Below are 27,566 nucleotides of genomic sequence, written 5' to 3' on the forward strand. Positions count from 1 at the left end.
GTCCAACATGGTGAAACCATGTCTCTACAAAAAATACAAAAATTGTCTGGGTGTGGTGGCACATGCCTGTAATCCTAGCTACTTGGGAGGCTGAGGCAGGAGAATCACTTGAACCCGGGAGGCAGAGGTTGCAGTTAGCCGAGATCACGCCACTGCACTCCAGCCTGGGCGACAGAGCAAAAGCAAGACTCCATCTCAAAAAAAAAAAAAAAAAAAGAAAAAGAAAAAAAAAAGATAAAAGATAGTTGGATTTCCTTTCACTTGCAACCGAAAGTTTCTGAGAATCACCTCCCTTATGCAGAGAGAATGCAGGTACAAGTGCCAAGCCTAGCACCTGGCACATGGTAATTGTTCAACAAATGTTGACTTCACTTTCTTCTCTGTCTTCCTTACTGGGATTCCATCTCTTTTTTCTTCACTTCTTCTTTCATCACCAAGTTTCCTCCTTCCTGTAGGGCTCTTTCCCTACCAGTCCTCTTTTCCTGGAAGCACAGAGATAAGCAGCTTTCTCTGCCTCCTTGTAAAACTCTGCCAGCTAAGACTCTGGCATAAGCCTCAGTGAGCTCTGCTCTAGACCTCAACATCCCCCCTGCACATTTCTTTGAAATCAGACCCCATTAATCAGAACTCCTCACACTTATACAATATTTTACCATGGGCCCTCACCTCCAGATTCTCATTTGGTTTGACTTTAGCCACGTGCAGAGGCAGGGCAAGGTGTTCTTGTGATCGTGACCATGACTGAGATGAGGAATGAAACGTTCAGGAACGGGACATTACTTGAACACAGTCACGGAGTGAGTAAGTCTGGGAACTGGGACACAAACACAGGTCCCAGGGCCAAACTCACTGCCCTCCCCGTTCTCCAGCACGGTGCTGTTTCCTTCATTTAGAGTGAAACGCTCATGTGCAGTGGATGCTGTGGTGCTCCACCTCCAATCCCTCTTCAGGTCCGGTGCCCTGTCCTCCAGATGCTGGGCACACTGCCTGCCGATTTTCACAGCTGCACCCCTCTCTGGGAACTGTGGTCAGTGGCAGGGGCTGCCCCACCTACAGTTCTGCTTCCTCCTAAGGGGCAGCTCACGGCCAGTGACTGACCTTCTTGCTTCAATTTAGGACAAGTGAAGGGCCAACCCTGCTCCAGAGCTCCCTGCAGGATCCGGAAAGCTGCCAGGTTTGGGACGCCTGGAGTGAGAGGCAGCTCCACAAGCGCAGTTGCTGTGCAAGCTGCTCTTCCACTGTGGCCACAGAATCCAGCAGATGTGAAGGTATGTAAAGCCTCTATGGCAGATAGGAATGCTGTGAGTGGAGGCTTTGGGTTGAGTACGGCCTCAATTACAACCAAATCACAAGTCAGCTTCTCCCTCTGCCCATTCCCACCTTCTTTCCTTTTTTTTTTTTTTTTTTTTTTTTGAGACAAAGTCTCACTCCTGTCGCCCAGGCTGGAGTGCAGTGGCACAATCTGGGCTCACTGCAACCTCTGCCTCCCGGGTTCAAGCACTTCTCCTGCCTCAGCCTCCCAAGTAGCTGGGACTACAGGCACCTGCCACCACACCTGGCTAATTTTTGTATTTTTAGTAGAGGTGGGTTTTCACCATGTTGGCCAGGCTGGTCTCAAACTCCTGACCTCAGGAGATCCACCCACCTCAGCCTCTCAGAGTGCTGGGATTACAGCCGTGAGCCACCGCACCCAGCCCTTCCTTCCTTCTTTAGAGGCATATTTCCTGAAGCACTTAAGTAAACCTTCTGCATTCCACTCTCCAGCTAAGAGTCTGTTTGCAGGGATTCCTGTCTAAGGCAGTTGGTAAGAGAAGTGATCCTAGGAAGCACACTCTAAAATGGGATTTTAGGGATGAACTACTTGCTGGCCAGCTGGCATGGAAGATTCCACCACTTGTGGTGGGTGGGGTATTGGCAATGTCCCGCTGTCACTGGCAGTGAATTGGGATGGGACACTGGTGACAGGGGACATGCTCCTGTCTCCTGGTATACTTCCGGCACTAGAGAAGAATGGTACCTAAAAAGACAATGGAATTGAGGGCTTTTGCAGGGTACCAATGATTTGATGGAAAGAGATAAAAACAGACTCAGGATAAGTGGCAGACATCCCATCCTGTTTTGCTGGGGTGAATTGTAGCAGATATGTCCTGGGGCTGGAGCTGCCAGTGGCAGTGGCTGCCTCCTGGTGATGCTGGTTTCTCTCCCTAGTACAGTCATGGTCCCGAGGGGACCAGAGAGGGGAACAGCTCTCTTGGCAATTCAGATCGGCATTGTGGCTTTGGTTATTGTGCCTGCAAGCTCAACAGAGATCGATTTCTTCAACCCTTTCAATGATTCTGCAACTGACTGCTGATCAATCTGAAGTCAAATCTTCTGATTTCAAAACCTATATTCTGTCCTCAACACCATGTGATGACTAGCAGACTTGAGATTCCACGAACTCAAATGAACTAAATCAAGAGAAGGAAAAAGTATTGAAGTTGCAAGGATAAATGAGTTCAGTTTTAGACATAGGAGCTTGATGTACTAGTAAGACAGCCTGAGACCATCCAGCAGAAATGTGAGGGGGATTGGCTCTTATTAGCCTGGGGCTAGGAATGTAGATTTGGAGTTCTTTGCTAGAAAGCATGATCCTGGGTATGATCACCCAGGGTGAGTGCAGGAAGAGACCAGGACTACAGGTAAGAAAAAAGATACAGTGGAAAAAAACAAAACAAAACAAAACAGTCATTTGGGAATAAAACACTTGGGTTCAACTCTCCACTTTACCTCCTACTAGCTGTGTGATGTTGGGCAAATTACTTAACCTCTCTGTGCTTAGTTTAAGAGTCAGCACTAAGCATCTTGCTTTACTGGCTCCAATCTTTGGTTCTGTTTTGGGGAAGGTAGAGGAGGCTTATTGCCTAAGCTTGTTGTCCCTAGGCTTGTTGCCTCATGTTTGCAAAATGGCTTTTCATGGCCCTGGCCATTGTGTCTACATATAACCATGTTCAAGACAGAAAGAAAAGAAAGACATGGAATGGAAAAGCTGGTTTTCCTCCTACTAGGAGACAACTTGTCTCTGGCAACTTATCAGCGAATGTGTTCTTATATCTCATTGGCCAGGGTTGGGTTACAAGACCACCCTTTGTTGCATGGGAGTGCTGGGAGAGCAAATGTTCCATCAAGGATTCCTTTGACTGATACTGATCATGATCCATCCTGATCCGTGGCACATCACTGCCCCAAATAAAAGCATGATGTGGTGGTCCACCTCAAGGTGGGTGCTCCACCTCAGGGAACCAGTGATGTGGTGCTCCACCTTTGGGGCAATGATGTGCCATGAATCATGATGGATCCAGGATCCATGATCCACAGCCCATCACTGCCCCAAATAAAAGCAGTCATGTTAGCAAGGGAGAAGGGACTGACTATTGGAGTGACAAACAGCATTGTCTATCAAAACTCATGAAAGTCTTTCTTTAGGGAAAGGTATAAATTTTGAATGCTAGAATTCAGACACGAGGCAGGACTCATCAATAGAGGAGATGGCTTTACCAATGCTATATATTTGTATAGCACTATAAAGTTTATGAAAACTTACACAGGTTCTTATTTGACCCTCACAACGGACCTGGGAGGTAAGTCGAATTTTCATTTTGCAGATCCAGCAAGAGGGACTCAGAAATCATTAAGTGAGAGAAGGGTCAGGCCTCATTCTGGGCCAACATTCTTCCTACTGAGCCAGGTAGATTTGGGACCCCCATGAATAGGCAGCTACCTTGATGTAAATCCCAGGTTACCTCTTCTTCCACCACTGAAAGGCCTGGAACCCCAAGATTCCTATTATCTGGGACATCAAAATTCTGAACAGTAGTAAATTGCCAATTCAATATTGATAGTTTATAGCAAATCAAACCTTTGGTGGAGGGAGGATGGTGGTATTGAAAGAGAGTTGTGGTTTAGTATATGACCATAGGCAAAGAACATAATTATTCATTTAGGAAAAAAAAAATCAAGAAACAAACTGAAGAGTTTCAGGAAACTCTACAACTGAATTCATACTTAGAATTGAATTTTTAAAATAACTTCCCAGCTGGGCGCGATGGCTTATGCCTATAATCCCTGAAATTTGGGCGGCTGAGGCAAGTAGATCACCTGAGGTCAGGGGTTTGAGACTAGCCTGGCCAACATGGTGAAACTTCTACTAAAAATACAAAAATTAGCTGGATGTGATGGCAGGCACCTGTAATTCCAGCTACTCGGGAGACTGAGGTAGGAGAATTGCTTGAACCTGGGAGATGGAGGTTGCAGTGAGCCAAGATCATGCCACTGCACTCCAGACTGGGCAACAGAGCAGGACTCCGTCTCAAAAAAAAAAAAAAAAAAAACAAACAGAGGCCGGGTGCGGTGGCTCATGCCTGTAATCCCAGCACTTTGGGAGGCCAAGGCGGGCGGATCACAAGGTCAGGAGATTGAGACCACGGTGAAACCCCGTCTCTACTAAAAATACAAAAAATTAGCTGGGCGCAGTGACGGGCACCTGCAGTCCCAGCTACCCGGGAGGCTGAGGCAGAAGAATGGCATGAACCCAGGAGGCGGAGCTTGCAGTGAACCGAGATCATGCCACTGCACTCCAGCCTGGGCAACAGAGGGAGACTCCGTCTCAAAAAGAAAAAAAAAAAAAAACAAACAAAAAACAAACAAACAAACATCTTCCCATGGATTATAAGCAATGCAAAATGCTAAAGAACATCCATAGGGAAGAAAGTCAGAACCAGACCATTGATTTGGTAAACACAACAATTCTATTGGCAGGCCCAGATTACAAGGGATTAGAATGAGAGAGGACCACACTTACCTCATTTCTATCTGTTCTCTGTTGGAGAATCACTCAGGAATCACCCAGAAGACTAGATAAAATTGTCAGTCCTCTCCCATATATTGGAGAAGTTGCAGGAGTGGCGGGTGAGTGGGGGTGTGAGTGTGCAGATTTCTCAAGTACCCACAATGTGCAAAGCAGTACTAAATGCTGGGAGGAATAAAGGTGTGAATGAAAGTATCCATTCATTGATTTATTCAGTAACTATTCATTAACAAACATTTATTGAGATGTTTTATGTGTGCAGCATTGGGCTAGGTTCCAGGGATACTTTTCAAAAAGCAGTCTAATTGGTGAAGGAAGGAGGGGGATGGGATTACAATGAGAACATACGAGAATTTTAAATAAACATCTGCTCAAAGTTACAAGACAGGTGCTAACTGCTGTAAATACTAAGGGGAAAAATTCCAGCTGGATCTGGGATCCAGGAGAGGCTTCTTTCCTAAGTAAGCTGGGAATTGAGCTTGGTCTTAAAGGATGGTTAGGATTTTGATAGTATGGATGAGCAGACACCGGAAGGGATCACATGTTATAGTCTTTCCTGGTCTTTTATCTTAGAGGAGACAAACTGCCTATAGCAGATGTCAACAATGCACACAACTCTCCATAGTGAGACAAAGAGCCTGGTATGTACAGAAAGCCCTGCTGATTGGTGTTTCTCAAGCTCAAATCATTGTACTTTATCCTTTCCACTCCACAAATATCTATTGAGCCCCTACTGTGGGCTGAGCACTGCATGAGGCACTGAGGATACAACTATGAATGATACAGGCACAACCAAGACCTTCAAAGGACTGAGGGTATGATGGGAGGGAAGACAGAGCAAGCATTTGTGATACATGCATCTAGAGTTATGACAGTGGAAGAATGAGGGCTATGGAAACACATAGTAGGGGAGCTTAGCCCAATCTGGATTTTCTGTGCAATAAATCACAACAGGCCAGGCATGGTGGCTCACACCTGTAATTCCAGCACTTTGGGATGCTGAAGCCGGCAAATCACGAGATCAAGAGATCGAGATCATCCTGGCCAACATGGTGAAACCCCGTCTCTACTAAAAATACAAAAATTAACTAGGCATGGTGGCAAATGCCTGTAGTCCCAGCTACTTGGGAGGCTGAGGCAGGAGAATCGCTTGAACCTGGGAGGTGTAGGTTGCAGTGAGCCGAGATCGTGCCACTGCACTCCAGCCTGGCGACAAAGCGAGACTCCGTTTCAAAAAAAAAAAGTAAAATAAAATAAATTAATTAATCACAACAATAAGCACTTATTTTTCAACAATAAGTCACAACAATAACCACTTATTTTTCAACAATAAGTCACAACAATATGCACTTATTTTTCTCATTTATCAGCCCATGATCTTTTGGGGAGCTCCACTTCAGGTCGCAGGTTGGCTAAACTTGATTCAAGGTTCATATTAGGGCCAGATCCCCTCCTCATGTCTTCACATTTTTTCTGGACCAGCAGCTATTCAGTTCTCTCTCTCTTTCTCTCTGTATGTGTGTGTGTGTGTGTGTGTGTGTGTGTGCAAATGTGTGCTTTCCACAGGACCACAAGAGGCCAAGCCAAACTTCTCAAATACGTTTAAGGCCTTTGTTTGTGGCCCATCTTACAACACTCCATTGGCCAAAGTAAGTCATGAGCTAAGTCCAACATCAAGTAGGTTGAGACATATGCTCCACCCTCTCTCATGTACAGCAAGGACCCAAATCAGAGGGGCAGTAAATAACTAGGAACAATATCCAATCTACCACATCATTCCTGGTCTCTACAAACCCCTCTTAATTGTCACTCATTTCTTTGCACCTCTTTAAAACAAAATCTCTGTGACAGAATTGTTTGTATCCACAGTGTCATTCATTCAGCACACTCTAAGCCATCTTTCTTTCCCAACCTCCAGCTGAAACTACTCTTGTCAAGGTTGCCAATGGTCAAATCTCACCTTAGCCTACCTTTCAGGAGAATTTGACACTGTTGATCTCTTCATCCTTTTTGGTAGCCTTTCCTTGTTTGGCTTTCAGACACCATCATCTCCTGATTTTCCTGATTTCATTGGCCTCTTCTCAGTATTGTTTGCTAGTTTCTCTTTCTTTTTCTGACTTCTAAATGTTGAAGTGCTTTGGGATTTGGTCTTTGTGTGTCTTGCCATCTGTATCTTCACTTACAACCTGTAAACATGGATTATGTTCAAATTTATATCTTCAGATTCATCCTTTTCCATGCAACTTAGAAATATATCCAATTGCTTACCTGGCATCTTTATTCTTGGATGTCTAATAACCTTTTTGAACCTAACATGTCTAAAACAGAATACTTGCTCCCCTACCCATACCTCTCTACCCTTGAAAAACCTGCTTTTTCCCAGTCCTCCTCTGGTAAATGGCAGCATCATTTAGCCAAGTGGATAAATAGATAATGAATTACCCATTGCTCAGGTCAACATAGATCCTGAATGCAACTGCTGCTCAGCACTTCCTCCCCTGTCTAAGCCACCCCATCTCTTTATATGGACTACCACAACAGTCTCTTAACCAGTCTCCCTATTAGCACCTTTGGTCCCTACAATCTCATCAGAGTAATCTTTAAAAAATGTAAATCAGACTGAAAAGTCTTCTGCATTAGAAAGAAGAAATGTGAAGGGGCTTGTGATAGAAATAAAAATAATATCATCATAAAGTAAACAAATAAAAAATGTATATCAGATATAACGATGTCAATTCTCTTTCAAAATTCCTAATGGTTTTCTATTTACCATCAACTATAAGGCCTTAACATAATCTGCTTATCTCACTGAATTCACCTCCTGTTACACTTAATCCCTTTCACTCGGTTCCCCTACAATGTTCTTCTTGGAACAAGACAAGTTTATTACTACCTTCGAGCTTTTTTCTTGTTTCCTCTCATAATCTTTCTTCCTCCAGACTTTAGAATGGTTGCTCCCTCATTTCTTTTAGGTCTCAGCTCAAATCTTACCTTCTTAAAGACATACACTTGACCTCCCTAACTAAAAATTCAGCCTTCTTCATCTCTACTTCCTTACCGTGCCTTATTTTTTATAGCACTCATTCATTGATTGATTTACACATTTATTTATTCAGCCATTTGAATATAAGTTTGCTAGAATGTAGGCTCCTCAAGTACAGGAATTTTTATATACTCATTATTATATCCTCGTGCCTAGAACAGTGCCTGGCCCATAGAAGTTGCCTCCCTAAAGATTTGTTCAATAAATGCATAAATACACGAATGAATGGTCTTTGCCGCAACTATCCGAGTCAGGTATTATTCCTATTGGGTGACAGAAAACAGTGGCTTGGGAATGTCCAGCAGCTTGTCTAAGCTCTATAGTTAGATGATGGTCCTGTCTTTCCAGAATCTAAAAAGTCTGTCTGATTCTATTAAACCACACTTGGCCCAAGAGTTAGAAAATCAGGTTTCCTTTCCTGGATATTTAGAAAATTTTCCGTGTAACCTTGGACAAATTAGAAAACCTGCATTTTCTAAGCCTTGTTATACTGATCATGTATGTAACAGCAAGGGGTTTTCTAAAATCCCCAAGGCCCTTGCCAGCTCCATTATTTAAATAAATATAAAATAATTCACACTTACAAGATAATCATTGTTATAATATTTGTTGTCTGCCTTGGGGCAAAGAATGGCTGAGAAAATAATGAAGATGAAGACCCCACTGGTCTCACATTTACCCAGCAAAGTCCAGGTCAATCTTTCTTTTTCTTGCCAGGTAATTTCTGTATTTGCTAAGTAGCTGCTGCCCTTGTCCTTGCTAGTTCTCTCATCCTGGGTAAAACATGTAGCTCCTCTAGGCTTCAAATCTTTGTTTTGAAGGTTAAGTGGGATAATATACATAAGACAGAAGTTAAATTGCTTGTAGTTCTGCAAGTGTTATAATAAATCCTACCAATAAACAGATAAATTGGCTTGAATGGTTTTAAGTTTAATGATTGCTGTATGTAGCTCCTATACTGGAAATATTGCTTAACTATGCAAATACAGTAAATATAGGTTCCATGTGGTTTTCCTGGAAAATAAATTAGATAAACGTGTAAACTTTCACAGATTTATTAGAGACAATAGGAATACAAGCTTGAATGTGGCTCACTGATATAATAAATCACTTCCCTCCATGAGCCACCATTCAAATCCATCTGATGTGCATCTTTTAATTTGAATATTCTTGAATAAGTCTATTGTTTTGTATGCATTTAAATGTACAGTATTGTACTATACATCTAATTCTGCTTTTACTTTTTATCACCAGGCACTATGCTTATCAGTGGACTTTCCAAGTTGGAGGCCTCACTGTTGCTTCAAGTGTGGTATGGCAGCACCCATCTGCTGTGTCCATCTACACTTTATTATATATCTATGCACCTCATCAGGGAAGCACGGGAACCCGCAGGCACTGCTAGTAGGAAGGCAAGCTGGCCTGGCCATTCTGGAGAAGAACATGGCAGTATACTCAGTCACATTCCAGTCGCACAGCCTGTGATTTGGGTATGCATCATGGATAAATGTTCATTGTAGTGTTATTTAGGAAATCCAGGAGCTGGAGATGGAAAGCAATGTGCTTGAACTAGGTAGGATGTATACAGCTCAAATGGGCCAACTGTTAAATTTTCAGGAATTTGGTGAGCTAGTTTTTATACCCCGTTATTATTTAAAATCAAATTATATAAACTTACCACTAAATAACATATATTTTTAAAAGTAATAAATACTTAAAACACACTGCTTCCTAGTGCTTTCACTAGACTGAACCATCATCTTGGCTTCTGGGGTCACTGAGGCCTACTGTATCTCCCTGGTGGACATCCCACCTCATGGTGTGCTGCTGCTGCCATTCTCTGCTGGTTCTGTGTTCAGGGATGTCCTGTTGGTAGCTTGAAAGAGGCCATGGTGGGAATAATTACACTATGGAAATTAGCAAACCCTATTTTGGCTAACCCTGACAGCTAATTGTTAAACATTTACCAGTTCACTGGAGACTAGTATTACTCCCCTTTACAAATGAGAAAAATGTGGCTCAGACAGCGTATGAAACTTGCCAAGAACCACACAACTTGTGACTGGTGCAAATTGGATTCAGACCCAAGCCTGTCTCAGACCTTGTACTTTACTTTGATGAAAATTGGAAGTGAGTTATAACGTTTAGACTATAAAATTCCCAATACTTTACCACCAACATTGCACTTATGTTTTTGTTTAAAAAAAAAAAAGTCTATGGCTGCCTGCACCTGAGTACAGTGTGAAATCAAGAAACGGCACAGTTTTTAGAAACATCTGCTTACTGATTGAGCTTCATTAACTCCTCATGTGAGATCCCAGTCCTGAACCACAGGTGCTGTTGCTTACAGTGCGTAAGAAAAATAAATGAGTTCAGCTTCCAGGTTAGTGCTGTGAGGTTACATAAACTAATCATTAAACATGACAGCTAAGATATTTTAGCTACTGTTTAACTTTAAAAGATTTGTTAATAAATAATGCTATTGCACACTGGAGGCCTTGACCCTGTCTCTACCTGAGTCACAAACCTTTGTGTTTGTATAGAAGTTACACTATTTCCTACATTTGACTTGAAATTTAGTCACATTTTCTTCTCATTGTCAATTATCTACTTTCTCTCTCATTCATTCAGTCATCAATAAACATTGAAAATGATGAATGCAACTTGAGACCAAAAGAGTTGGGAAAAATCCTTTCTAACATGACTGAATGAAAATATTTCATGAATCAAATGCTCTCTAAAATGTGAATATGAGGCAAACAACCTCCTGGACGACTAAATGGTCAGATGCAAAGGTGAACTGACATGAGCTCCTAATTGGATTTTGTAGGCCAACATTTTTTTAAAAAGTATTTTTAATAAGGAAAATTTCAAGTGTTTACAAAAGTAGAGAAAACAGTACAACAAATCTCCCTGTACCTATTGTCGAGGTTCAACCATCATTAACTCATGGTCAATCATCTGTCATGCCCATCTTGTTTGATGCGTGTCTGCTTCCAAACCTGTCTGCCTTTCCAATCCCAGCAATGCCAGGGCATTTCACTTTTCAATTTATTATTTACATATATATCCTAAGTGGATACATTCATCTACTGTACTCTACACACTGGGTTCCACAAAAGCAAGCAGACATGTGTGGTGCTGTACAACTACTTTTATAGAACTTGCCACCATACATTTATAAATTATAACCATATAATGTACCAACAATGCTTTGAGGTAGAATACTACCACTTTACAGATGAAGGAACTGAAACACAGAGGTTAGGCAACTTGCCCACCATCACACAGTGAGTTAAGCAGCAGAACTGAGATTTGAACCCAAACAGTCTGGTTCCAGAGGCTATGCCTTTAGCCATGACACCACAGCCTTCACACAGGAATTTACATGCACTACTGAACGCTCAACTGCTTAGCCAAAGCTTCTGCATTGGAATGGTTCCTGCCTTGTTACCCCAGATCAATGAATAGAGACTTTCCTTAAAACACTATTCGGATGGCTCTCCTCATCCCCAAACAATACCACAAGTTACTCCAGGGCATATTCTGTTTATAATTTTGAAATGTCAGGTTTCATTTCATTCATGGCATCAAAACTTTGAAATTTGCTGAGATGAAACTTACGGCACAGTATATGATCAGTTTTTATAAATATTCAATGTGTGCTTGAAAAGAATATATATTCTGCAATTGTTGGGTTCTATACACATCCACTAGATTGTTAGTCATGTGTTCAGCTTTATATGCATATAAAATGTTAAAATTTCTCATCATGACTGTGGATTTACATATTTCGCCTTGTAGATGTGTCAATTTTTGCTTCATGGGTTTTGGAGTCTTTTTTTGCAGATGCAAATCTAGAATCAGTATACTTTGCTGGTGATCTGGACTTTTTAATCATTACAAAGTGAGCTTCTTTATTCTTAGTAATGCCATTTGCCTTAAACTATTTTACATGATAATACCATGGTATAACTTAATTCCATCATTTTACTTTCAACCTAGTACACAGGCTTTAGGTGTACCTATTAAGTAGCACATAACTGGCCAGGCTCAGTGGCTCACACCTGTAATATCAACACTTTGGGAGGCTGAGGTGGGAGGACTGCTTGAGCCCAAGAATTTGAAACCAACCTGGGCAACATAATGAGATGCTGTCTCTACAAAAATTATGTTTTGGCTTCGATTTTACTGTTAAGAAGTGTATTTCTCACTTTTTTTTAAAGGTAAGCACTCTCTATTTTGTGCCTTTAAAATGTTCTCATTGTCTTTAGTTATCTACAATTTTTACTATGTTGTAAATTTCCGTTTATCTTGCTTGACATTTCTATGGTCTTTGAATCTGTGGAGTAATGCCTTTCATCTGTTCTGGAAAACTCTTAGGCATCATCTTCTACAAAATTGACCCCATCTTATTCTTCTCTCCTTCCTCTGGGACTCCAGTTAAACATATAACAGATCTTCTCCACTGTATTATTTAAGATCTTACTCTCTCTTCTGTTTATTCTCTATCCCACATCTTTTTGTCTTTTCATTCTTCATTCTGTATATAGGCATACCTTGTTCAACTGCACTTTGGAGATACTGTTTTTTGTTTTTACAAATTGAAGGTTTGTGGCAACCCTCTGTTGAACAAGTCTGTAAGCTCCATTTTTTCCAACAGCACGTGCTCGCTTCATGCCTCTGTGTTGCATTTTGAAAATTCTCACATCATTTTCATTTTTTAATTACTATTAAATCTGTGATGGTAACTTGTGATCAATGATCTTTGATGTTACTACAGTTGTTTTGAGGCATCGCAAAACAGACTCTTATAAGACAATTTACGTAATTAATAAATGTCGTGTGTGTTCTGACTGCTCCCCTGACCAGTTGTTCCCCAACCTCTTGCCCTCTTCTCAGGCCTCTCTGTATTAGTCCATTTTCATGCTGCTGATAAAAACATATCTAAGACTAGCCAATTTACAAAAGAAAGAGGTTTAATGGACTTACAGTTCCACATAGCTGGGGAAGCCTCGCAATCATGGTGGAAGGCAAAGAGGGGCAAGTCATATCTTACATGAGTGGCAGCAGGGAAAGAGAGAGCTTGTGCAGGGAAACTCCCTTTTTAAAACCATCAGGCCTCATGAGACATATTCACTATTATGAAAATAGCACAGGAAAGACCTGCCTCCATGATTTAATTACCTCCCACCAGGTTCCTTCCACAACATGTGGGAATTCAAGATGAGATTTGGGTGGGGACACAGTCAAACCATATTATTCTGCCTTGGCCCTTCCCAAATCTCATGTTGTCACTTTTCAAAACCAATCATCCCTTCCCAACAGTCTCCCAAAGTCTTAATTTACTCCAGCATTAACTCAAAAGTCCACAGTCCAAAGGTCGGGCATAGTGGCTCAGGCCTGTAATCCCAGCACTTTGGGAGGCTGAGGTGGGCAGATTGCTTGAGGCCAGGAGTTCAAGATCAGCCTGGCTGACATGATGAAACCCCATCTCTACAAAAATACAAAAATTAGCCAGGTGTGGTGGGGTGTGCAATGTAGACCCAGCTACTTAGGAGGCTGAGGCAGGAGAATCGCTTGAACCCAGGAGGTGGAGGTTGCAGTGAGCTGAAATCATGCCACTGCACTCCAGCCTGGGCAACAGAGCAAGACTCTGTCTCAAGCACCTCCACCCCCCAAAAAAGGCCACAGTCCAAAGTCTCATCCAAGATAAGGCAAGTCCCTTTCACCTATGAGCCTGTAAAATGAAAATCAAGTTAGTTACTTCCTAGATTCAATGGGGGTATAGCCATTGGGTAAATATACCCATTCCAAGTGGGGGAAATTGGCCAAAACAGAAGGGCTACAGGCCCCATGCAAGTCTGAAATCCAGTGGGGCAGTCAAATCTTAAAGTTCCAAAATTATCTCCTTTGACTCTATGTTTCACATGCAGGTCTCACTGATGCAAGAGGTGGGTTTCCATGGTCTTGGGCAGCTCCACCCCTGTGGCTTTGCAGGGTACAGCTTCCCTCCCAGCTACTTTCATTGGATGGTGTTGAGTGTCTGCAGCTTTTCCAGGTGCATGGTGCAAGCTGTTGGTGGATCTACCATTCTAGGGTCTGGAGGATGGTGGCCCTCTTCTCACAGCTTCACTAAGTGGTGCCCCAGTAGGGACTCTGTGTGGGGGCTCTGACCCCACACTTCTCTTCTGCACTGCCCTAGCAGAAGTTCTCCATGAGCCACGCCTCCCCCCATCCCCCACCCATCAAACTTCTGCCTAGGCATCCAGGCATTTCCATACATATTCTGAAATCTAGGCAGAGGTTCCCAAACTTCAATTCTTGACTTCTGTGCACTCACAGGCTCAACGCCATGTGGAAGCTGCCAAACCTTGGGGCTTGCACCCTCTGAAGCCACAGCCTGAGCTCTATGTTGACCCCTTTCAGCCACGGTTGGAGCAGCTGGGACACAGGGCACCAAGCCCCTGGGTGGCACACAGGACAGGTACCCTGGGTCTGGCCCACGAAACCACTTTTTCTTCCTAGGCCTTCAGGCCTGTGATGGGAGGAGCTGCCACAAAGGTCTCTGACATGCCCTGGAGACATTTTCCCCATTGTCTTGGGGATTAACATTCAGCTCCTCCTTACCTATGCAAATTTCTGCAGACAGCTTGAATTTCTCCTCAGAAAATGGGATTTTCTTTTTCTATCGCATTGTCAGGCTGCAAATTTTCCAAACTTTTATATTCTACTTCCCTCATAAAACTGAATTGTTGCGGGAAGTCAGGGACCTTAAATGGAGGGACCGGCTGAAGCCATGGCAGAAGAACGTGGATTGTGAAGATTTTATGGACATTTATTAGTTCCTTAAATTAATACTTTTATAATTTCTTATGCCTGTCTTTACTGCAGTCTCTAAACATAAGTTGTGAATGTTTCATGGACACTTATCACTTCCTTAATCAATACCTTTGTGATTTCCTATGCCTGTCTTTACTTTAATCTCTTAATCCTGTCAGCCAAGGAGGATGTACGTTGCCTCAGGACCATGTGATAATTGTATTAACTGCCCAAATTGTAGAACATGTGTGTTTAAACAATATGAAATCTGGGCACCTTGAAAAAAGAACAAGATAACAGCAATGTTTAGGAAACAAGAGAGATAACCTTAAACTCTGACCGCCGGTGAGCCAGGTGGAACAGAGCCATATTTCTCTTCTTTCAAAAGCAAATGGCAGAAGTATCACTGAATTCTTTTTCTCAGCGTGGAACATCCCTGAGAAAGAGAATGTGCACCTGCGGGTAGGTCTCTAAACTGGGCCCCCTGGGCGTAGCTGTCTCTTATGGTCGAGGCTGCAGTGATGAAATAGACTTCAGTCTCCCATAGCACTCCCAGGCTTATTAGGAAGAGGAAATTCCCACCGAATAAATTTTGGTCAGACCGATTGATCTCAAAACCCTGTCTCCTGATAAGATGTGTTATCAATGACAATGGTGCCCGAAACTTCATTAGCAATTTTAATTTTGCCTCAGTCCTGTGGTCCTGTGATCTCGCCCTCCCTCCACTTGCCTTGTGATATTCTAATACCCTGTTAAGTACTTGATGTCTGTCACCCACACCTATTCGCACACTCCCTCCCCTTTTGAAAATCTCTAATAAAAACATGCTAGTTTTTGTGGCTTGTGAGGCATCACGGAACCTACCGACATGTGATGTCTCCCCCGGATGCCCAGCTTTAAAATTTCTCTCTTTTGTACTCTGTCCCTTTATTTCTCAATCTGGCTGATGCTTAAAGAAAACAGAAAAGAACCTATGTGAATATCAGGGCAGATTCCCTGATACTGAATGCCTTTAACAGCACCCAAGTCACCTCTTGAATGCTTTGCCACTTAGAAATTTCTTCTATCAGATACCCTAAATCATCTCTCTCAAGTTCAAAGTTCCACAGATCTCTAGGGCAGGGGCAAAATGCTGCCAGTGTCTTTGCTAAAACATAACAAGAGTCATTTCTGCTCCAATTCCCAACAAGTTCTTCATTTCTATCTGAGACCACCTCAGCCTGAATTTTATTGTCCATATCACCATCAGCATTTTGGGCAAAGCCATTCAACAAGTCTCTAAGAAGTTCCAAACTTTCCCACATTTTCCTGTCTTCTGAGCCCTCCAAACTGTTCCAATCCCTGCCTATTACCCAGTTCCAAAGTTGCTTCCACATTTTCAGGTATCTACAGCAGCTCCCCACTCTACTGTACCAATTTACTGTATTAAGTTTGTTTTAACACTGTTGATAAAGACATACCAGAGACTGGCCAATTTACAAAAGAAAGAGGTTTAATGGATTTACAGTTCCACATGGCTGGGGAGGCCTCACAATCATGGCAGAAGGCAAGGAGGAGCAAGTCACATCTTATGTGGATGGAGGCAGGCAAAGAGAGAGTTTGTTCAGTGAAACTCCCCTTTTTAAACCCATCAGACCTCATGAGGCTTATTCATTACCAAGAGAATAGCATGGGGAGAACCTGCCATGATTCAATTACCTCCCATCAGGTCCCTCCCACAACACGTGGGAATTCAAGATGAGATTTGGGTAGGGACACAGGCAAACCATATCACTCCCTATTATATGAGACACAACAATATTGAAATTAAGCCAATTAATAACTACAATGGCCTCTAAGGGTTCAAATGAATGGAAGAGTCACATGTCTCTCACTTAAAGCTAAAAGCTATAAATGATTAAGCTCAACGAGAAAGACATATTGAAAGCTAAGACAGGCCTAAGGCTAGGCCTCTCATTCTGGTTAGCCAACTTGTGAATGCAAAGGAAAAGTTCACGAAGGAAATTCAAAGTGCTACTCCAGTGAACACACAAATAAGAAAGGGAAACAACCTTTTGTTGACATGGAGAAAATTTTAGTGGTCTGGGTAGAAGATCAAACCAACCACAATATCCGCTTAAGCCAAAGTCTAATCCAGAGCAAGGCCCTAATTATTTTCAATTCTATAAAGGCAGAGGATGAGAAAGCTGCAGAAGTAAAGTTGGAAGCTAGCAGAGGTTTGTTAATGAGGGCTTAAAAAAAGAAGCCATCCCCATACCATAAAAGTGCAAGATGAAATAGCAAGTGCTGATTAAGAAGCTGCAGCAAGTGATCCAGAAAGTCTAGCTAAGATCACTGATGAAAAGGTGGCTACATTAAACAACAAAACAGCCTTCTCTTGGAACAGGATGCTATCTGGAACTTTAATAATGAGAGAGAAGTCAATGCCTGGCTTCAAAGCTTCAAAGGGGTGGATGTGGTGGCCCACACCTGTAATCTCAGTGTTTTGGGAGACTGAGATGGGAGGATCACTTGAGGTCAGGAGTTCAAGACCAGCCTGTGTGAGACCTCACCTCTACTAAAAATTAAAAACAAACAAACAAAAAGAACAAAACAACAACAACAAAAAAAACTAGCCTGGCATAGCAGCATACACCTGTAGTCCCAGCTACTGGGAGGGCCGAGGTGTGGGAGGATTGCTTGAGCCCAGGAGTTTGAGGCTGCAGTGAGCTATGATTGTACCACAGCATTCCAGCCTGGGTAACAGAGCAAAATCCCAATTCAAAAAAAAAAAAAAAAAAATAGAAAAAGAAAAAGAAAAAAGCTTCAAGGGACAGTCTGAGTCTCTCATTAGGGACTAATGCAGCTGGTGACTTTAAGTTAAAGCCAATGCTCATTTACCACTCTGAAAATCCTAGGGCTAAATCTACTCTGTCTATGCTCTATAAATGGAACAATGAAACCTTGATGACAACACATTTGTTTACAGCCTGGTTTATTAAATATTTTAAGCCCAGTGTTGAGACCTACTGCTCAGACGAAAGATTCTTTTCAAACCACTGCTGCTTGTTGACAATGCACCTAGTTGTTGAGGAGCTCTGATGGTGATGTACAAGATGAGTGTTTTCATGCTTGCTAACACACATCCACTGTGCAGCCCATGGATCAAGGAATAAGTTAGACTTTCAAGTCTTACTATTTAGGAAATATATTTTGTAAGTCTATAGCTGCCATAAATAGTGATCCTCTGATGGGTCTGGGGAAAGTAAGTTGAAAACTTTCTGGAAAGGAGTGACCATTCTAGATGCCATTAAGCACATTCATAATTCATGGGAGGCGGTCAAAACATTAACAGGAATGTGGAAGATGTGAGTTCCAAACCTTATGGATGACTTTGAAAGGTTCAAGCCTTCAGTGGAGGAATTAACTGCAGATGTGGTGGGAAGAGCAAGAGAACTAGAAGTGGAGCCTGAAGATGTGACTGAATTGCTGCAATGTCATGATAAAACTTGAACAGATGAGGAGTTGCTTTTTATGGATAAACAAAGAAAGTGATTTCCCGAGTTGGAAACTACTCCTGGGAACATGGTATGAACATTGTTGAAATGACAGCAAAAGATTTATAATATTACATCAACTTGGTTAATAAAGTAGCAGTAGAGCTTGAGGATTAATTTTTTTTTTTTTTTTTTTTTTTTTTTTGAGACGGCATTTCACTCTTGTGGCCCAGGCTGGAGTGCAGCGGCACGATCTCAGCTCACTGCAACCTCTGCTTCCCGGGTTGAAGCTATTCTCCTGCCTCAGCCTCCTGAGTAGCTGGGATTTTAGGCACACACCACCACGCTCGGCTAATTTTTTGTATTTTTAGTAGAGACGGGGTTTCACCATGTTGGTAAGGCTGGTCTCGAACTCCTGACTTCAGGTGATCCACCTGCATCGGCCTCCCAAAATGCTGGGATTACAGGCGTGAGACACTACGCCTGGGCTTAACTCCAGTTTTGAAAGAATTTCTATTGTAGGTAAAATGGTATCGAGTGGCATCCTAAGCTACAGATATCTTTTGTGAAAGCATCAATTAATGCAGCAAACTTCGCTGCTGTCTTCTTTTGACATTGCCACAGCAACCATAACATTCAGCAACCACCACAATGATCAATCAACAGCCATCAACATCAAGGCAAGACACCACACCAGGAAAATGATTATGACTTCTGAAGGCTCAGATGGTTGTTAGCATTTTTAGCAATACTTTTTAAATTAAGATATGTACACTTTTTAGGTATAATGTTACTGCACACCTAACAGACTACAGTATATTGTAAATTTAACTTTTATATGCACTGGGAAATCAAAAAACTTGACCTTCTTTATTGTAATATTTACTTTATTACAGTGGTCTAGAACAGAACCCACAATATTTCCAAAGAATGCCTATAATTTCTTCCTAGCCTATCTTCTCATTCGCCAACTCTGTATCTAATCTGCTGCTAAACCCTTCCAATGAACTTTCTTTAGAACACAGTCAGCCAGGCATGGTGGCTCATGCCTGTAATCCCAGCACTTTGGGAAGCCAAGGCGGGTGGATCATTTGAGGTCAGAAGTTCAAGACCAGCCTGACCAAGATGGTGAAACCCCATCTCTACTAAAAAATACAATAATTAGCCAGCCGTGGTGGCGTATGCCTGTAGTCCCAGCTACTCGGGAGGCTGAGACAGGAGAATCGCTTGAACCCAGGAAGCAGAGTTTGCAGTGAGCTGAGATCGTGCCACCGCACTCCAGCCTGGGTGACAGAGAGAGACTCCATCTCAAAACAAAAACAAACAAACAAAAACAACAGAAAAACAAAAAAAACACAGTCCACTTGTTTTCAGTGTTTGATAATACCAATATATGAAGTCCCCGTGGATCTATTTTTGTTATATTCTCTTATACTGTCTTGTCCCCTTAGGGCCTGATTATCTCTGATTGTGTGCTGTATATTACAATTGAAAATTTATTTGTAGAAATAATTTGAAGCATAAGGATTTTTGTTTGCTTCTGCTAGACACCTGAGAGTGCTAACAAGTTTCAAGATTTTCTGTCTTGGCCACTCATATGACATAAAGCCTGGTTAAACAGATTGATGGCTGGTTTATTTCTGGTTCCTTCATGTTTCTACCTTTTGGGTCCCAGGCAAAAATGGGGGAATTAACAAGGAGAGTACCCACCTTCGTAAGCCCTGAACTTTCGACTTTTGTACCTTGTCCCGAGAGCCATGAATATGCAGCTCTGATCTTTCGTGTTTCTCTTTAGCTTGGCAAATACTCCCAAGACAAAAGTGGTTGCAAGTACTGGGTTCATCATTCTTAGTTTGCACCTTTTCTCAGATCTCAGTTGGTAATTTCTCACTATTTTATTTTTTGCTTTAAAAATTTTTGTATTTGGTCCAGGTTTTTTGGTTGTCTTATGTAGGAAGATTGGTCCAAATTATTGAGACTTCCACCACCAGGGAGAGAAAACCCCACTATTATTTCCTCCCAGACCCCATAATAGTTGAAATTATTTGATAAAGAACTGTTCTCTATAGAATAAAGACATAAAAACTGTACATCAAAGTATGCATGTTCAATATTCAGGGAAACAAAAGGAAGTGAAAGGATCCATAGCCTGGAAGAAAGGAAATACTGGATTTTACACTCATCTTGTTACTGCCATCTTCATCTTTATGATAGCCAAAGCTATACCACTTGAATAAAGCATTATGGTAAATGCTGTTTTCAGCTCTTTCAATTTCCAACCTGTAAGTCCTCTTAAATAGAAACAGAAGATCCTCTGTCCACATATTATCTGATTCACATGATGAACACTGTGTGGTATTATAATACTCATTTTGTAGACAGGGAAAATGAGGCTTAAAGAAGTAGACTGCTCTAATTCCAGCTTCTGTGATCCAAGGCCAATGTTCTTCCTATTCTATTATTTTACTTGCTCATTTTCAAAGTCACCCCTCCACCCTAAGCTTTTCCTTCTTTGAGACAGGGTCTTGCTCTGTCACCCAGGCTGCAGTGCTGCAGCACAGTCATGGCTCACTGCTGCCTTGACCGCCCAGGCTCAAGCGATTCTCCCACCTCAGCTCCCCAGTAGCTGGGACCACAGGCACGCACCACCACATCCGGCTAGTTATTTTATTTTTTTGTAGAGACAGGGTCTCACCATGTTGCCGAGGCTTCGTTTTTTGTTGTTGTTGTTGTTGTTATTTTTTAAAGTAAAACGAGATGAGACAACAAAACTTCTACAGTTCCCCCCTCCTGCTCTGACATCTGGAAAACAGCTAGGCCTGCATAGCTGATGGGCTTTTGTAGCAGTTACGTACGAAGCCACAGGAAGAAAATTGTGCTAGAAGCTTCCTTTTAGTGGGAAGATTTCTAAGCCTTCTTTCTCTACTGCGCTGAGGACCACCTTCATATCATTTGGAATGAATAACGGTGCTTAACTATTTGCATGTGTTTTCCCACACCCATTTGTGCAATCTTCCAAGATGCAGAGTGGTATCTGCACGTTCAGATAATTACAGTGGGATATGGAGAGGCTTTTGTGTACTTAATACATTTCATGCCTTAGAAAGATAAACTTTTCTCAAGATATGAGAAGAAACAAACAGAACTCTGGAGAGTGAAATTCTCTTCCATCCTTACAGAGAAACCCCACATATTCTCATTTAAGGATGCGGTAGAAAGAGTATGTGAAATCAGAAATTCTGGGAGGGGAAAAGCCCTTTGCTAATAATTAGTTCTGTAACCTTGGGTAAATCAGAAACTTATCTTGATTTTTAGTTTCTCCTTTGTAAAATGAGGATGAAAGAAGATTTTGCAAATTTTTTGTGAACTCTTAAATTGCTACTGAAATGAAAATTATAATCTTTTATAAACTAACATCAATCTGGACACTGAATAGAGATTAGTGAAGAGGGAACAGGGGGTGCAGATTTGCTCATCTTCTCCAAAGAGGAAAGAGAGAATTAGAGGGGAGGAAATGAACAACTCAGTGCACTTCTTCTTGCTTCCTGTAACATACTTGACTCTGTTAATAAGGTTTCTTACTGCATGGCCATTGGAACACAACATGGTAATGAAGGGGAAAGAATAGATAACTAAGTCACACGTACCTTGGCCAAACTGTGTGGATGGGAACATTGCCTAACCTCTTTAAGACTCTTTCTCTGTCTTAAAATGGAGGTAGCCTTTTAGGGTAATGGTGAAGGTTTCCTGAGATACCTCATGAAAAAAAATGCCTAATGGTGTTCTGGACATAGTAGATGCTATTTAAATGCAAGTTCTGTTCTCTGCCTCATATAGGGGAATTGCTGCCCTTATAAATTTAATTTTGTCAACTGTGTATTGAGAATTCATTTAGACCCTTCAATAAAATTATATGTAGAAAGGAAAATTTAGGTAGAAAACCTCCATAGAACTTTCTGCTTCTATGACATTGTCTGAGTGCACTAATATGACAATTAGGCTATAAGGAAAAGGAAGCTTTAATATTATCTAAATGATTTTGAAACCTGTGTTATACAATCAATATATATTTAGTGCAGCTTCCAGTTCATTCCATTCCACATTTCAGTGACTCTGACCATCTCGTATCACTCAAATGCAAAACACTCTTCTTTCCAAGGAGCTATTTCACTGTTTAAAAGAAAAAAATGTAGACAAACAAGTATCACTGGCCTTCTTCCTGCCAGCTTTCAAATTACCCCCATTTAACCTCAGAAGAACAATCCAAAGAGCTGCATCCTGTAGGTGAAATTTCAGCTAAAATGTTTCTATAACTTCCCAGCTGAATTGTCATTTGTAAGCCTTTTAAAAATTAATTAAAACCACTTCCATTAGTCTTTTGTTTGGCCTTCATGCAATCATTTTTCTTTTGCTGTTTAACAAGAGAAAACCCACCAGCATTAGCTATAAATATATGGCACCAGATATGGAGAGAAGGCATATGACTCATGCTGGACTGTTCCCTAGGGCTAACTCAGCGATGACTGCATTCTGGGAAGTATGTCAGGTCTACTCTTAGCCCACAGACAAATCCCAATCCAGCCGGCTATATGAAGAGAATTCTCTTTTTTCAGTTCCTTCTATTTCCTTTCTCAGTTTAAGGCACTGGGACACTTCACTCACTTGGTCTGCTGGAATATTCCTTCATCCATCCATCTGCTCGTCAGTCTATCCGTTCATCAAACATACCTGATTACCAACCATGGCCTGGCCCTGGAGGCAGAATATCGAATAAGCACATGTTCCAAAAAGAACACTATTGCAGTGTGGGAGAGTCTGACTAATAAATTACCTATTACAGTGTAGCAAAGTCTATGATAGAGGAATGAAAAGAATGCAAAGGAAGCACAGACAAGGGTATCAGGGCAGATTTCTAGGAAAAGATTATATCAAGGACAACTAAATATCAAAGTGGCAGGAGGATGATGAAGCATTCACAATGGAAGAACTGGATATACGAAGGCACAGGATTACAAAACAGGACATGGTGGGGAAGTAAACGTGGTTTACAATGGCTATATTGGAGAGTCTGTTCAGGCTAGTGGCCAGAGATGAGGATAACAACGAAGGTGGGCTTAACTCAGTGGTCTTGGAATTGTGTGCCTCAGGTGCTAAAAGGGGTAACCAGGGAATCAGCTTAGCAGGTGGGTTCACGTTCATGTGCTTTACATGGTGGGCTTTGGTGAATGATTTCTTTTTAAAGAGCAGGTTCCACTATAAGAAATATTTGAAAACTCCTGGCTTAGATAATTAAGTGTCTGTGCTTAAGCCAGGGAATCTGAACCTAATTCTCAAATAGATGTTCAACAGATTGAGTGACAGAGAAAGTGTCTTGTTTTTTTCCTCATTCCCCGCAGGACAGTGAGTCTCAACAGGAGGAGGAGAATGAGTTTGAAAAATAATAAAATTAACAATTTAGATCATGAAAAAACTGCATACTGTTTTAACAATACAGACTACACAAAACAAAACCCTATAAAACTGGTTGGTGGATTATGGGTTAAAATGTTGCAAAACTGCCAAACAGGTAACCACAATGTGGGACAGACACGCTGAAGATGCAGAAACGTACTTATTTCGCAGCTCATGTACCCTCCTGACCCTGGTAAACAGCAAAGAATACACACTTAGTGGGAATTCACCGTCTATACTTTTTAAATGTGTTATTAAAAACACGACAACTGGGCAGTTGCAACACTCATGCTTGTGAGTGTCTTATATCCTAAGTGAGGTTCCCTTGGCTTGTTTTCTTTCATTTGCAAAGTCTGGCTACAAGAATGATTTAGTTCTCCCTAAAAATCATTGCCAAAAGACAAAAAATGTATAAGTATCTATCTTAAAAACCTTTCAAAGTTAGAAAAAAAGCCTTTAAAACCATATTACAGCATGTTATGATAAACTCCCTATTATACTTTTACAGTAGCAATGTCAATGCTGCTTGAACATAAAACCTGTCATCTACATCAATCTTTATATCTTCCAAGTATTTTTATATTGATCGTTTTATACCCGCAACCCTGAAGGTAGGATAAATGTGGTGACTGAGGCTCAATACATTCTTATAAATACATATAATCAGGAATTGCCTTCAGGGAAAAGGTATAGAATCCTGGTCCACTGAATTCTACCTCCACTGTTTCTCCAACCCCCATCTCCCTCCCTCCAATACCTGGTACTCTGAAATGAGTTTTAAACAATCAGCTGCTGTCCAAAACATCTTTAAGTAGTTATCTGATGTGGTGTGTTTACAAAATTATGTATGTTACATTACAGGCTTTACCCAGACCTTGGGACTGTTCTTGAGTTCTGAAAATGACTAGAATCTTCCATTATTTTCAGGTTTCTTCAATTCTACATGCTTTCTTAATGACTCTCCCATTCACCCGCCCCTATTTCTTGTCCTGGGACCAAATGGTTGCTAGAGGCAACCAGTGTGAATGTTCTAATCTTCCAAGACACACACACTGGCTCACCTAGGCAGGTAACTCAGTAAATGGTAACTCTAGCTATCACTCTCCCTTGCTAGCAATGCCTATTTTCCTATACCTACCAAATTCCTATCCTTGGGGCTTCTTTCAAGTTCCACCTGCTGCAGGAAGCCTCCCCTACCTGCTCCTTGTCCACATGAATGTATTCTTTCCTTGTCTCCTACAATAATTGTGTCTCTTTACTATTTAACACTTGGATCCTAGTTTTCTTATTGTTATGTGAAACACATGTTTAGAAGCCAGAAATCGGGGTTCAAATGCTAGTTCAGGACCTATTATGTTTTAAGCTACTTAACTTCTCTGAATCTCAACTTTCACATGAGAAACAAGGATAATCCTTTTTCAGGCAAACAAGGACAATAGTTAATATATTTAAGTACTTAGCTTTCCTCCACCTGACAGATAGTAGATGCTCAATAAATGCTGAATTGAAAAAAATGCAGGACCCAGGTCTTATTCTTCTCTCATCCCTTAATAAACCTGGCATGAGCTACAAGGAAAGACCTACATGATTATTAGTTATTTTTCCTTATATAGCTCACCTCTTGTCTCAGGAAACCAAAGTGAGTAATGCTTTTTTCCCTTTGCAATTATAATTACCCGCATGAGTGTCATCACAGTCAGGGTACTAGTAATACTTTTCATATGACTAATTGGCATAGTATTTTATCATTTTTAAAGATAAGGTTTTGTGGGGTTTTTTTTGGATGTTGTTTCATTTTATTTTTCTAGTAACTCTTGGAATGCAGGTAGGGAAGGTATCATTAAACTTTATATACTAGAAATCTTCTTATTATTTACTTATTTTTGAGACAGGGTCTTGCTCTGTTGCCCAGGCTAGAGTGCAGTCGCATGACTGTGGCTCACTGCAGTCTCAATCTCCTGTGCTCAAGCAATCTTCCCACCTCAGCCTCCAGAGTAACTCGGACTACTGAGATGTGCCACCATGCTTAATTTTTTAATTTTTTTTTGTAGAGACCAGGTCTCACTATGTCACCCAAGCTGGTATATACTAGAAATCTAAGCTCAGTTGAGAGTGGTTAACATCAGGAATACCACTTTTATCTTAACTTACAGTTTACAAAGCATTTTAATACCCATTTTCTTATTTGATGATTACTCAAGATCCTAATAGCACTTAAAATGTAATACCCTTAAAGTCTTCCAGATATCAGTGGACACTAAACTTGGTGTGATCTGTGTTTTGTGGCAGCTACAAATAACCAAGATTTTTTTATTTTTAAGAAAATACCAATTGGTTACAGTGCATGCTTGAACACCACGGGTTTGAAATGCACAGGTCTACTTATATGTGGATTTTGGAAAATAAAAGTTACACCAACCGTGCCTTGCTTCTCCTGCCTCCTTTTCTACCTCTTCTGCCTCTACTACATCTGAGACAGCTAGATCAACCCCCCTCTTCCTCCCCCTCCTCAGCCTACTCAACGTGAACGTGAGGAGGATGAAGACCTTTATGATGATCCACTTTCACTTAATGAAGTGTAAATATATTTTCTCTACCTTGCAATTTTCTTATTAACATTCTTTTCCCTAGCTTAAAGAATAGAGTATATAATACATATAGCATACCAAGTATGTGTTAATAGACTATTTGTTATCAGTAAGGCTTCCAGTCAATAGCAGTAGTTAAGTTTGAGAGCAGTCAAAAGTTACACTCAGATTTTCAGGGGGTGGCAGGGTGGGGTTAGGATTGGTACTCCAACTCCAATGGTGTTCAAAGGTCAACTGTATATTGCCTCCATTATAAACCAGGGGTGGATTTAATGTCTTGCCCCAAGCCTAAAGAAAACTAACCCCTGCAAAGGCAATGCTTTGTTATTTGTAAAAGAGGTAGCTGTGCATTCTCAGAAAGTTTCTCTTTCTTGTTACTCATGTAATCTCTCAATGTTCTTCTCAACGTAGAGTCACAAAATTAAGAGAACTTGATGTCTCTAAAATGTACAGTACAGTCCTTATATCTTTATTCCTTTATATTTCAAAGATCAAATTTCAAGTTTCCACCATTCAAAATAACTAAATCTGCCAGCACTAAAATATTTCCTATAGAATGCTGTCTTTAAGAATTCACCACGACTTGGGCAATTTACCTACCAAGGCCTGTTTCTGACTTTCCATAGTTCTAAGCTAAGTTGATTTAAGGAAATACATGAAAATATTAATTAAAATAACTACCTTATTTGTTTTACAAGGTCTGTTTTTTCCCTGAGATATGAACCCGGTGGCAGATAACGGAATCATGGGGGTGATTTCCCTCATACTGTTCTCATGGTAGTGAATAAGTATCACAAGATCTGATAGTTTTATAAGGGAAACCCCCTTTGCTTGATTTTCATTCTCTTGTCTGCTGCCATGCAAGATGTGCCTTTTGCCTTCTGCCATGATTATGAGGCCTCCCCAGCCACGTGGAACTATGAGTCCATTAAACCTCTTTTTCTTTATAAATTACCCAGTCTCGGGTATGTCTTTATCAGTAGCATGAAAATGGACTAATACACCCTGCATCTCTTTTTAAGAAACAAAAATGAGACAAGTAAGTTTTATCATCCATTCCATTTCCACCCCCTACCCCAAGCTTTAAGTTTGCGGACATCCTCAAACTATTGTTATGAGCAAATATGTAAATATATATATATATACACACACACACATTTATTTTCAACATATGTTGAAAATAAAAACCTTTGTGATTTTCTTAATGCATATACATCTTTAGTAATTGTTTTGTTTTTAAGTCACATAAATAATACACTATATCAACCTTCTGTTACTTTTTTCTCCAGTTAAAAGTTTGAGATTTCATCCATTTTAGCTGTTTTCAATGTATGAAACAA

At 41.0% G+C, this 27,566-nt stretch overlaps 2 protein-coding genes across 3 annotated transcripts in view; one reads left to right on the plus strand and one right to left on the minus strand.

The window, feature by feature from the left end:
* Window positions 1-27,566, minus strand: part of ZFAT (zinc finger and AT-hook domain containing) — a 354,552-nt gene that overhangs the window by 277,833 nt on the left and 49,153 nt on the right. The window contains exon 3 of the mRNA XM_047422062.1: window positions 6,817-7,032. The gene's annotated coding sequence lies outside the window, so the exon portion shown is untranslated. The remainder of the gene's footprint in view (window positions 1-6,816; window positions 7,033-27,566) is intronic.
* LOC124902071 (uncharacterized) lies at window positions 888-10,378 on the plus strand. 2 transcript variants are annotated; one of them, XM_047422540.1, is made up of 3 exons: window positions 888-1,027; window positions 1,117-1,268; window positions 9,144-10,378. In XM_047422540.1, exons 1-3 carry the CDS (start codon window positions 906-908, stop codon window positions 9,407-9,409), a joined length of 540 nt encoding a protein of 179 aa, XP_047278496.1. In that variant the 5' UTR covers window positions 888-905; the 3' UTR covers window positions 9,410-10,378. The 2 variants fall into 2 exon arrangements, with proteins under 2 accessions (XP_047278496.1, XP_047278497.1); XM_047422541.1 differs by having other exon boundaries at window positions 888-950; window positions 9,144-9,613.

Source organism: Homo sapiens, chromosome 8, assembly GCF_000001405.40.
Source record: "Homo sapiens chromosome 8, GRCh38.p14 Primary Assembly".
NCBI lineage: Eukaryota > Metazoa > Chordata > Mammalia > Primates > Hominidae > Homo > Homo sapiens.

Excerpts from the sequence above, each read along its gene's own strand:
- LOC124902071 (XM_047422540.1), top strand. The coding sequence starts at position 906 with ATGTGCAGTGGATGCTGTGGTGCTCCACCTCCAATCCCTCTTCAGGTC. Across the intron at positions 1,028-1,116 it reads ACCCCTCTCTGGGAACTGTG|GACAAGTGAAGGGCCAACCC; the intron begins GTCAGTGGCAGG and ends GCTTCAATTTAG. Across the intron at positions 1,269-9,143 it reads AGAATCCAGCAGATGTGAAG|GCACTATGCTTATCAGTGGA; the intron begins GTATGTAAAGCC and ends TTTTATCACCAG.